At 36.7% G+C, this 12,057-nt stretch overlaps 1 protein-coding gene across 9 annotated transcripts in view, besides 2 other annotated features; it reads left to right on the top strand.

Moving 5' to 3' along the window:
• Window positions 1-12,057, top strand: part of CERT1 (ceramide transporter 1) — a 143,496-nt gene that overhangs the window by 120,255 nt on the left and 11,184 nt on the right. For all 9 annotated transcript variants that reach the window (XR_007058566.1, NM_001379003.1, NM_031361.3 and 6 more), the window contains 5 exons: window positions 2,040-2,135; window positions 5,693-5,825; window positions 7,015-7,085; window positions 9,650-9,778; window positions 10,526-10,655. Coding sequence is in view for 8 of the 9 variants with exons in the window: in NM_001379003.1 (NP_001365932.1) it covers window positions 2,040-2,135; window positions 5,693-5,825; window positions 7,015-7,085; window positions 9,650-9,778; window positions 10,526-10,655 (559 nt within the window). In the remaining variant the exon portion in view is untranslated. The remainder of the gene's footprint in view (window positions 1-2,039; window positions 2,136-5,692; window positions 5,826-7,014; window positions 7,086-9,649; window positions 9,779-10,525; window positions 10,656-12,057) is intronic.
• Window positions 3,282-4,481: an enhancer, noted in NCBI's record as "MED14-independent group 3 enhancer chr5:74683071-74684270 (GRCh37/hg19 assembly coordinates)". NCBI's record gives its function as "activates an origin of replication core promoter dependent on BRD2, BRD4, P300/CBP and CDK7 cofactors, and independent of MED14, by STARR-seq in HCT116 cells {active_cell/tissue: HCT116}" and the evidence as "EXISTENCE:reporter gene assay evidence [ECO:0000049][PMID:35650434]".
• Window positions 11,887-12,057: a silencer, noted in NCBI's record as "fragment chr5:74675495-74675665 (GRCh37/hg19 assembly coordinates)". NCBI's record gives its function as "represses an EF-1alpha promoter that drives an FKBP-Casp9 reporter gene in an ReSE screen in K562 erythroleukemia cells {active_cell/tissue: K562}" and the evidence as "EXISTENCE:reporter gene assay evidence [ECO:0000049][PMID:32094911]".

The raw sequence follows: 12,057 nt of genomic DNA, 5'->3' as shown, positions 1-12,057 counted from the left end.
TCAAGCCAATGCTACTTTTATTTATGCATACTAACTGGAACTTTTCTTTTTGGAAATCAGATACATTTTGTATGTATTAGTAATTTGGAATCCTGCATTGGTTATCCTCGCCCTCCCAAAGCAGATTCTGAAATTATAAAGGTGCACAGGTTCTCCATGCAACACCAAAAGTTATATTTTCCAAGGCTTTGTAAAATTGTAGAATGTCCTGTTAAATTTCTGTCAAATCAGTAACTCACACTGTTTTGAGAATTATGAATAAAGGAATAAAATATTGTTAGTGTTTATTTAGTACAAAAGTAGATTATAGAATCTCAGCATTTTTGTCAAAAAATTTCTTTTTGATGATTGACAGATCAGGAGACACTTAAGGCCATACCTGCTTTCAGTAATCAAAAATGCATTTAAGATCCAGAAACTTGAGGTAGCAGAACATCACTATCACATATAACATATCCTTTGGTATAGAAAATTATATTCCCAGAGTGAGTTTCTTTTTTAAAACCATTAATGAGGCCAAGGTGGGAAGATCACTTGGGACCAGGAGTTCAAGACCAGCCTGGGCCAGATGGCGAGACCCTGTCTCTACAAAAAATTAACTGGATGTGGTGGTGCACTCCTGTAGTCCCACCTACTCAGAGGCTGAGGCAGGAGGATCCCTTGAGCCCAGGAAATTGTAGTGGCAGTGAGCTATGATCATACTACTGTACTGCAGTCTGGGCCACGAAGTGAGACCGTGTCTCTTAAAAAAAAAAAAATGTTAGGCATGGTGGCACAGGCATATAGTTTTAGCTACTTAGGAGGCTGAGGCAGGAGGATCACTTGAGCCCAGAAGTTCAAGATTACAGTGAGTTATGATTGTGCCGCTGCACTCCAACCTGGGTGACAAAATAACCCTGTCTCTGGCGGGTAGGGGGGAAGTTGATTATTTACTTTGAAATATGTTCAAAACTGATTCCTGTTCTATATTCCTAATGAACAGAATAGACTTTATATAAAACAAATAGTTAAACTTAAGGATAAAATTTTAATGGAAGTATAATATATATATCTTCCAGCTCTTCTGTCTTCTAATGTATTTATTACAGAAAATGAAATTACTTTGTTTCCGCAATCTTTGTATCACTTCAGTTCTCCAATAAATCTGAGAATTCTGGTAGTGTGAAATATTCAGCTTTCTTTGCTTATTTACATAAAATGTATAAGGACAATTTGTGATAATTAAGAGTTACATTTAAATATCAGGAAAAAGTTATAAATTTAAATTAAAAAATTTTAAAAGGAAATTATTAGAAATTTTAAAAGAATGAACTAAAAGGTGATTATATGTAAATGCTTGCATATATGAATATTAGCATTGTCCCCAAAATAATTTAGAACAAAGAAATTGGAATCAAATAAATAAAGGTTTGATTATTTTTAAATTGGCTTATATTCCATGATAAAAGAGAGGTTTATCAGTGGCATAAGAAAGGTTTTTCACCTTTTTTGTATTGAAATCTTTGACATATACATATATATCTTTGCTCATCTTTGTGTATCTTTGCTCGTATGAGAGCAAAGATATAGGCAAAGATATGCTCTCTCTCTCTATGTCTTTGTTCATACCAGACCTTCCTGATATCTCCACATAATCTTAAATATAGGAACATTAGACTGGATGATCTCTGTGCCCCCTTTATCTCTACTCTTCCATTATTTTATACTTTAACACATCATCTCTGTTTTATGATATAGAATGGAATATTTCTTTTTTCCTGAAAATGCTTATTTTGGTCACTTGATACACATTAGGCCAATATGTGTTACTTGAGTGACCCATCTTCCTTCTTTTCATTTCTGTCTCCTGTCATTAACCTGGATATCTGGAATGTGGACTAAACTCTTCAAACACTATGTAAAACCTACTAACCTTTGTGCATTTGGTTGCTCAGCTACTAAGAGCACCATTTCTGAACTGAAGTTAACTGAAGACCATTCTGTTTTAGAGATTATGACATACCTTTTGGATTCTCATGCCTTTTTCCTCCCTTCTCAAGGTTGAAGAGATGGTGCAGAACCACATGACTTACTCATTACAGGATGTAGGCGGAGATGCCAATTGGCAGTTGGTTGTAGAAGAAGGAGAAATGAAGGTAATTCCCCCTGAAATGTTATAGATTGCCAAAGGCGTCTCTGTTTCAGTCATATTATCATTACTATTGATATGAATAAGGATAGCACTTTCAACTTACCTTTAAAACAAATTATTACATGTGATCAAAGCAGTACCATATATTGAGCAATAAAATGTCTTTTTGCTTTTCTGGCTTTGCCTTTACTAAAGGTTTTTATGATTATAATATAAATATATGATTAAACCTTTCTGTTTTGACTAGGCCATGAAGAAAATAAAATTTAGAGAATTAGATATGACCAGGTCACAATTAGCTGATGGTCCTGTATTTGGATATTTCCTTTTGTTTTGTTTTTTTAACATACTGAATGTTGTGCCTAGATGACACTTTGTTTCTCTCCCTTTTTGGTCTATACCCTCCTTCTTTTCCCTTCTCTTACTGCACCTTTATTTGATATTTGGACATTGGTCAGTTAATCTTGTTTACATCCCTAAACACAAGGACAGAAAATAAGAGCAGGGACTGAGAGATACAGAGATGGATTGAAAAGCAAAAGCAACATTGAATTTTGGATTTTCTCATTCCTAAGGAACTATGCTAAATAAAGATACAAAGATAATAAGACACTCTCCAAGCTAAAGCTTTAGTTAAGGAAAAAGAATATTGACATTTAAAAGATACTATTGGCCAGGCACAGTGGCTATGCCTGTAATCCCAGCACTTTTAGGAGGACATGGCAGGCGGATTACTTGAGCTCAGGAGTTCAAGTCAAACCTGGGCAACACGGTGAAACCCCGTCTCTACCAAAAATACAAAAATTAGCTGGGTGCAGTACCACACACTTGTAGTCCCAGCTACCCAGGAGGCTGAGGCAAAAGATTCCTTGAGCCAGGGAGGTCAAGGCTGCAATGAGCCGCGTTTGTGCCACTGCACTCTAGCCTGGGTCACAAAGTGAGACCCTGTGTGAGATATATATATATATATATATATATATATATATATATATATATGCATGCATGCTATACTTGGCTCCATCTGATAATGTACTGAGTGAAGAGTACAGATGAGTGGTGGAGAAAATCAGAAAAGAAAGATCTCTGTGATTTGAAACAATTAGATTGTTTTACAATGCAGAGAAGCATTTGAACTACATCTGGAATTAAAAAGAAAGTTGTGACAAGGGTGAGGTGAGGGCATTTTAGGAAAAAAATTATAATGTGAGCAAAAACTTGAAAGCAAACTTTTTAGTCAGGATTTTTTGCATAATCTATGTTGACCAGAATTATTCTAGCAAATAAGATATAATATTAGATGCTGGGATTTCCTCTCCCCTTGAATAAGGAACAAAGTAAGACATAAGATAAAACAGACAGATAAATGAGATACCAGAATGTTAGCTATAATTCTGATAAGGTGATTGTAGAAAATAGTTTGAGATCAGCTGCTACAGGGTCTTGTTACTCCAGAATTAAGCATGTTCCTGGCATTGCTGGATAATCACAAACCTTCACTACAGAAGCAGGCCAGGATGTATGCTCTTCGCGGAAGAAAGGGTTGAGCCAGACCTGCCTTATTTCTTCTTCTGTAGTCATCGTTCAGTCACCGTAGAGTCACCTCCCTCTGGGGAGGAGGAAGTGAAGTACTAAAGAGAAGCCAGGAGTGATGGTCTGGATGACGTCCCTCTACCTGGAATGAGGAATAGAAAATAACTACTCCTACAGCCCACAGTGTTAGAGAGAAATTGGGCCTAGATAATGGGAAGCATAAAGTTACTCTCTAAAGAGAACAATCGTTGTCTATAACAATTGTCTACAACAGTAGACTAGCCACTGTATGAAAAGTATCTTTTTTTTTTTTTCTTTTTTTTGAGACAGAGTTTTGCTCTTGTCACCCAGGCTGGAGTGCAATGGCATGATCTTGGCTTATCGCAGCCTCCGCCTCCTGGGTTCAAGTGATTCTCCTGCCTCAGCCTCCCAGGTAGCTGGGATTACAGGCACCCGCCACTACGCTGGGTTAATTTTTGTATTTTTAGTAGAAATGGGGTTTCACCTTGTTGGCTAGGCTGGTCTTGAACTCCTGACCTCAGGTGATCCGCCCGCCTCGGCCTCCCAAAGTGCTGGGATAACAGGTGTGAGCCACTGCGCCTGGCCTGAAAAGTGTAATTTTAAGAAGATCAAGCTGATAGGGAAGAAACTGGAGAACAAGCAGACTACTTAAAAGAGTCAGGCACAAAGTGATGAAAGCCTACCTAGAACAGTAGAAAAGTCAAACTGTTGGATGTCTTAGCGAAGACATTTTAGACAAAAAATAATAATGTGAGCTAGAGGCCTCCCTGCTCTGCACCTTTGGCACCACATCTAGGAACTGCCAGTGCCATGGTGTCAATAGATTCCTGCCTCACCCCTAATCATCTCTTCTATGCTTTATTAAGAACAGTTTTTGACTGGTGGCAGTGGCTCATACCTGTAATCCCAGCACTTTGGGAGGCCAAGGCGGGCAGATCATCTGAGGTCAGAAGTTTGAGACCAGCTTGGCCAACATGGTGAAACCCTGTCTCTACTAAAAATACCAAAAATTAGCTGGGCGTAGTGGCAGGCGCCTGTAATCCCAGCTACTCAGGAAGCCGAGACAGGAGAATCGCTTGAACCTGGGAGGCGGAGGTTGCAGTGAGCCGAGACGGCGCCATTGCACTCCAGCCTGGGCAACAATAGCGAAACTCTGTCTCAAAAAACAAAAAAGAATAGTAAAGAGCTTACTAGCTGTGTGAACTGTAAAGGGAGGAATCAAAAGTCTAGAGTTTCTAGTTTGGGTAGCTGGGAAAACGGTGGTCCCAATAATATGAGTAATAAATAGGTAGGGGAAGGTAGTCTGTTGAGAGATACTCTAAGAAAATCTATGTGAAATGCCTAACAGTGTCCAGCCCCATAGGTCCTTCATAAATTGGCACTTGGTTCTCCCCCATGATGACATGTTTCATTTCTCAAGAGTATTTATCACATAATTATCTAAAGTAGCAAACTCTATAATTTTAAAATAATTAATTTTACTTAGCATTTAAGGTATGTAACCTCAGTATTTAAAGCAAGATAGATCTGTATTTACGTTTTTGCCATCTTAGCTTTCAGCCATTGATTTAACAAATAACTGAGTGCCTATTGTGTTTCATATACTATTCTAGCTGTTGGGGATACAGCATTGAACAAAGCAGACTTAATTTAGTATCTTTAAGGAGAATATATTCTAGCCAGGTTTATTTGGTTTTCTTAGCCATGTTAAACAGTCTTTTGAGAATGGTAAATAATGCCTAATTCAAATTGATACATTTATTTTTAAACAACTCACAATAAGTCATTTATCACATATGCATGTTTTTATCTGAGGTTTACCTTGGATTTATAATTTTAAGTACTTTTTTGTCTGTTAATTTGAAATTTTTAATTTTCTTTTAGCAGAATATGTTCTATAAATAGACTTTCATAAAAATCTAAAGAGCAGCTGTATTAAAAGCATGCTTTCCTGCTTTTATGGGCTTGATTTTTAATTTTCAAACAGTTTTGGAATTATGTTCTCTTTAGGTATACAGAAGAGAAGTAGAAGAAAATGGGATTGTTCTGGATCCTTTAAAAGCTACCCATGCAGTTAAAGGCGTCACAGGACATGAAGTCTGCAATTATTTCTGGAATGTTGACGTTCGCAATGACTGGGAAAGTAAGCTGTCATTATTAATATATTTTAATCTATTATTTTGAATTTAATATCAAATCCAACCTAGTTTTCTGCATCTCCTACATAGTTTACAAAGTCAACGTAGAAAGTATTTGGAAAATCATATAGAGGACTAGCAATACATTTATGTAGAGCTTTTCAGTGTATGAAATGCTTCCTAGTATGTAATTTGATCCAATAACCTCAGTAATCCTACAGTGATAGGTAGGTATTATTGCTTATTTTACATACAAATAAAGTAAAATTCAGATAGGCAAAGTGACTTGTCAAAGGCAACAAGAGCTATATGGTGGAGAAGCCAAGACTGAAATTGAAGATTTCTGTTTCATCATCTACTCTTTCCTAAACTGTTTCCGTGGTAAATCCTAGGTGAATCCTTTTGTGATTACTTTAGAATTATTTTATTTTTTTAGACAGAGTTTCGCTCTTGTCACACAGGCTGGAGTGCAGTGGTATGATCTCAGCTCGCTGCAACCTTTACCTCCCCAGTTCAAGTGATTCTTCTGCCTCAGCCTCCCAAGTAACTGGGATTACAGGCGCACACCATCACGCCCAGCTAATTTTTGTATTTTTAGTAGAGACGGGGTTTTGCCGTGTTGGTCAGGCTGGTCTCGAACTCCTGACCTCAGGTGTTCCACCTGCCTTGGCCTCCCAAAGTGCTGGGATTACAGATGTGAGCCACTGCACCCAGCCTAGAGTTATTCTTAGTGTGTATTCCCCTTAGACACAAAATTTCCTAAGTATAGATACTTCTCAACATCATCAGATGTTTATCATTGGCAGTTTGACATCTCTTTTTCACAGAAATAGCCACCTAAGATTAGATATAACAATTTATTTAACATCAATAAATTGGGGAAAAGGGAAGGGTTTTAGTGTTAGGGAATTATTTGTGCCTGAGTGATGCAGTGGTGATTAGAATTGCTTTCTTGCTGTGGAAGATAGATAATTGGGCCAAAGAAAATGAGGCTTCCTGGTGATCAGACCTCACATCCCTAATCTGTAACCATAATACTAAGTATTAGCTACCTTCCATTTGGATGTAACCTAGATAGGGCAGGATCCTGTTCAATTTACCATACTGTCCATTCGTACTTGACTTTCAACATAAGTGAATTGATCACATTCTAGGAAAAGATAATATATCTTTTTATTATTCTCTTCATTTCAGCAACTATAGAAAACTTTCATGTGGTGGAAACATTAGCTGATAATGCAATCATCATTTATCAAACACACAAGGTAAAGATCTCTTCATTCATCCTAAAAGGATTTCAATGTAGTTCAAACTCAGACATATAGATTCTCTAAAGTAAAATTGGGGAGGTTATTAAAAGCCACAAAAATCCAAAGACTTTATTAAATAATGATTCATGAATGTCATGTATTTAAAAGGTATATCAACTTGTTCAGAACAGAAATATGTGCAGGCAAGAATCTGAGAGATACAATCTAGAAATAGAGTGCTTGATAAAGATCAACGGTTAGTTCCCTTTGTGCACTTTTTATTTTTAAAGAGACAGGGTCTTGCTGTATTTCCCAGGCTAGTCTCAAACTCCTGAGCTCAAGTGATCCTCCTGCCTCAGCCTCTCAAGTAATTGGAACTACTGGTGTATGCCACACTCTTAGCTTTCTTTATACACAGTTTAAGTCTAGAAAAGAGCCTTCTGAAATACTGAAATCCATTTAAATACCTTTCTAGTATCTAGTTTCTATAAGAGGTAAATGATAGTTACCAAATATGAAAGTGAATTATAGCTTCCTGTGACAACAACAATAAGGGTAATGGCTAGCATGGTATTAGCCTATGTTAAGACTAATAGATATAAAAGTAAATGGATTATCTGAAAGCAAAGAAAAATCACAGAGCGTGACTTGAGAGGTTAGTCATACACCAGAGCATACAGAAACATAATTTAAGTTAGCTCCCTTTCACCTTATTTCTTCTGCTATTCTTGATATTTAAAATTATAGAATCAATAGTTCTCTTGCCTTATTCTGCTCTTTCTCTTCTGAAAACTGCCCAATAACATAATGTGTATAGCATAATAAAAGGAATTAAAATTTTGGAGAGATCCACCAAAAACAGTATTAAACATTATAAAAGAAATGTAATGATTTAATAGGTACTTTGTTTTTCCAATTCAGTGAGTGCTTCATTTTTCTTTTTAAATGGTTTTTGAGTGCAGTATATGAAAACATTATAAGTCTGTTATGTATTTCTTAAACTCAGTCTTGTCATCTGAGACATCTTATATCTAATAATTAGGAGCCATACTTAATTTTACACGGTAGCTGCTCAGAAATGCATAACAATTAAGATTCTGTTTCAGCATACAAATTTTGAAGTCTAATTTGAAATCTAAAATTTAGTAAATGTCAGAATATTAATTAATCACCCTATAATTTGGAATGAAGATAAATGACCAATAATTTAGAACCAAAAGAACCTTATTATCTGAAAATAATCCATCATGGAAAACAATCTGCTGAAGGTATTCTGCTAGATAAATAGTAGATGGAGGGAGGGTCATATAAGTTGTATCAGGATTGAAAAATAAAACTAAAAATTATTAAAATAATCTTATATGTAACAAAATTTGTTACAGTTATAATTATTTGCCAATTCTTGGAATAAACAAATTGTCCTGGAATCATTTTTTCAAGAAAATCACATTACATTCGCAGTGTATGTAACTATACCACTCACACTATATCTGAAATTTATCATCACCCCAAACAGAAACTCCGTACTCATTAAGCAACAACTCCCCATTCCCTCTCCTCCCATTCCATAATAATGTTCTGCTTAGACTCAAAGTCTATAGTGTTATTTACACTACAATATTTTTCCCTTTAAATTTGACATCTTTTGCAGTATGGTCTTAAAAGAGGGCTACTGGTCTCTTGATATTTAAGTCATTCTCATTCTTTAAATTTCTATCTTATCATCCTGTGGATTTGTATTCATTAGGTCTAAATTTGCCAAATCTTCATGTATTACTTACTGTCTCCACACAATTTACCCAACACTATATTTATCAACTACATGAAATTTTGTATCTTTAAAAAATGAATCATTTCATCTTGCAAATGATTTGTATTGTATGCTATTTATTACTCTCAGTAATCAGGAATGACGCTGCATAACAAGGACTAGTCCAGATACATATACGAGATAACCAAAATAAAAGTAACTTAAATAGGATAAAAGGTTTTTTTTCTCATTTAAAGTAGGTAGTCCCATTTATTGAAGACCTAGGCTCCATGTCATTCCCATAGTATATGTTTCCCCTTGCATACCTTAATATTGAAATATTTAATCTAAGTGACTTAGAATTCTTTCTAATGTGATTTGATTCAAATAAGTCTTTTTTCATTAAATCTTTGAATCTAAGTAGAACATAATCATGGAGTATGAGGAGAGAGGAATGGAAAGTTGTTGCTTACTGGGTACAGAGTTTCTGTTTGGGATGATGATAAATTTCAGAGATAGCAATATGGTTACATAACACTGTGAATGTAATTAATGTCCCTGAATTGTACCCTAAAAGTTAGTTAAAATGACAAATTATACGTGTATATATTTTACTGCAATTAAAAAAATAGAACATTATTCCTTTTATTATATTGTTCTGCAAAGCTATTAACTCTGTTCATAATTAATCATTTGGTAGATATCCTCAGATGCTTTCCATTTAAAATTTGAGAGATTTTACCTTCAATTAAGACATTTATTGGCATTACGTTTCTCTTGTTAGTTCCATGTTAGATCTGTTTTTCAAAAGATTTTTACTTCTCCACAGAGGGTGTGGCCTGCTTCTCAGCGAGACGTATTATATCTTTCTGTCATTCGAAAGATACCAGCCTTGACTGAAAATGACCCTGAAACTTGGATAGTTTGTAATTTTTCTGTGGATCATGACAGTGCTCCTGTAAGTACATGTATATAAATGTGTATAATTAAACAATATAAAGCTAAATACACAATGCGGGACAAAAATGATAAACACAGCCCATACACTATACTTGATTTGATAATGGTTCTTAGATTTTATGTTGGATTGACTGCTAGGAACAGTATAGCCCATGTGTTGTCTGAGGGCAACAGTCATGCCTATGAACATTCCACCAGGGCCGTTTACCTTTCCTTCTAATGTTTCGTGAAACAGCCAAAAGGGCAGTACATACACTGGGCAGTAGGCTACTTCCCACAGTTATCTCTTAAGCCGTTATCAACTGCCAGCCAAACCTCTGTGGTTTACCACAATTTAGCTCCATTTACTACTTAAGAGGAAGGGATCCTGGGCAACATGGTTAGACCCCATCTCTATTAAAAAAAATTTTTTTTTTTTTTTTAATTAGCCAGGCCTGGTGATGTGCACCTGTGGTCCCAGCTACTCTGGAGGTTGAGGCGGGAGGATTGCTTTGAGCCCAGGAGTTTGAAGCTGCAGTGAACTATGATGGCACCACTGCACTCCAGAGTGGGCAACAGAGCAAGACCTTGTCCCCAGAAAAAGTGGGTGGGGAGGAATCCTGGTGTCATATCAGCTTGGTGCTTATAAGATTTCACTGGAGATACTTTTAAGAGTTACGATTTTGGTTAACCTAATATAATATTAGACCAGCAGAGTTTACAAAATACTGGGTATCTACTGATGCTTTGTTTTTTGTTTTGGCAGCTAAACAACCGATGTGTCCGTGCCAAAATAAATGTTGCTATGATTTGTCAAACCTTGGTAAGCCCACCAGAGGGAAACCAGGAAATTAGCAGGGACAACATTCTATGCAAGATTACATATGTAGCTAATGGTATGTATTTTATTGTTTTTGCTCTTTGATAATGTGGCTGTTCTTGATCATGACCTATATGACAACAATTTGGACAAATGCCTTTTTAGTTCTTATCCATTAGATTACTAATTTTTAATTTGGAGAAAGGTATATCAGAATTACTAGAGAATCTTTGAAAGTACAGATGTCTGAATTTCACCCTGGAACTACTACTATATGAGTATTTCTGAAGCTAGAGCTGGATAGGAAAATTTTAAAACTTTATCCCTAGGTCACTGTATATACCCTTCTTTTTTTTTTTTTTTTTTTTTTGAGATGGAGTCTCGTTCTGTTGCCCAGGCTGGAGTGCAGTGGTGCAGTCTCAGCTCACTGCAGCCTCCGCCTCCTGGGTTCAAGCGATTCTCTGCCTCTGTAGCTGGGATTACAGGTGCCCACAACCACGCCTGGCTAGTTTTTTGTATTTTTAGTAGAGACGGGGTTTCACCATCTTGGCCAGGCTGGTCTTGAACTCCTGACCTCGTGATCCACCCACCTCGGCCTCCCAAAGTGCTGGGATTACAGGCGTGAGCCACTGCGCTCGACCTAGCCTTCATATTAAGCACCATTTTCTTAGATATTTGCCTCATAGAACAGATTTATTATTAGGAATATAAGCAACAGTGGGGAAGGAAATTAAGAGTTCTTTTACTCATTGTCAGCCTTTTTAGCTTTCTGAATCAATGTTCCCCTAGTCCTTATTAGTTGCTAGTTACATATTTATTTCTCTTTGACATTCATTGTCAGGCTTTTTGTTTTCTGAGTCAGCGTTTCCCTAGTCCTTATTAGTTGCTAGTTACATATATTTGTTTCACTTTGGATAGGTCTTTTCATTGCTTGCTTTGGGTCCTTACTTCACCTGCTTTGCACCTGGAGTAATCATTGCAACCTCTCTCATCAAAAGTCATACCTTCTTTATACAGGGCCATAACTGCTAGTATGTTCAAAGAAACAGTTGTACCTGAGTAAGTTACTATTTCATTATAGTACAGATTTGTGAATAATCTGCCCTAAATAACCTTAAGTGGTGCTATACTAATTTTTGCAGGTAATTTCGGGAACTAAGAACATTGTAGAAAGGTTATAGATGCTTTCTTATTTGCTGTCTGATTATGTCTGATGGATAGTGTTAAGGAATGAAGGGTTGGGACTTAAAAGATCATAATTGGTCCAGCTGGGTACAGTGACTCAGCCTGTAATCCCAGCACCTTGGGAGGCTGAGGCGGGCGGATCATGAGGTCAAGAGTTCGAGACCATCCTAGCCAACATGGTGAAAACCCATCTCTACTAAAAATACAAAATTAGCTGGGCATGGTGGCGTGCACCTGTAATCCCAGCTACTCCGGAGGCTGAGGCAGGAGAATCACTTGAACCCCGGAGGCGG

The sequence above is a fragment of the Homo sapiens genome, chromosome 5 (assembly GCF_000001405.40).
Source record: "Homo sapiens chromosome 5, GRCh38.p14 Primary Assembly".
NCBI classification, from domain to species: domain Eukaryota; kingdom Metazoa; phylum Chordata; class Mammalia; order Primates; family Hominidae; genus Homo; species Homo sapiens.
Note: the sequence above shows the minus strand (reverse complement) of the source record. Positions and strands in the feature narration are given on the sequence as shown.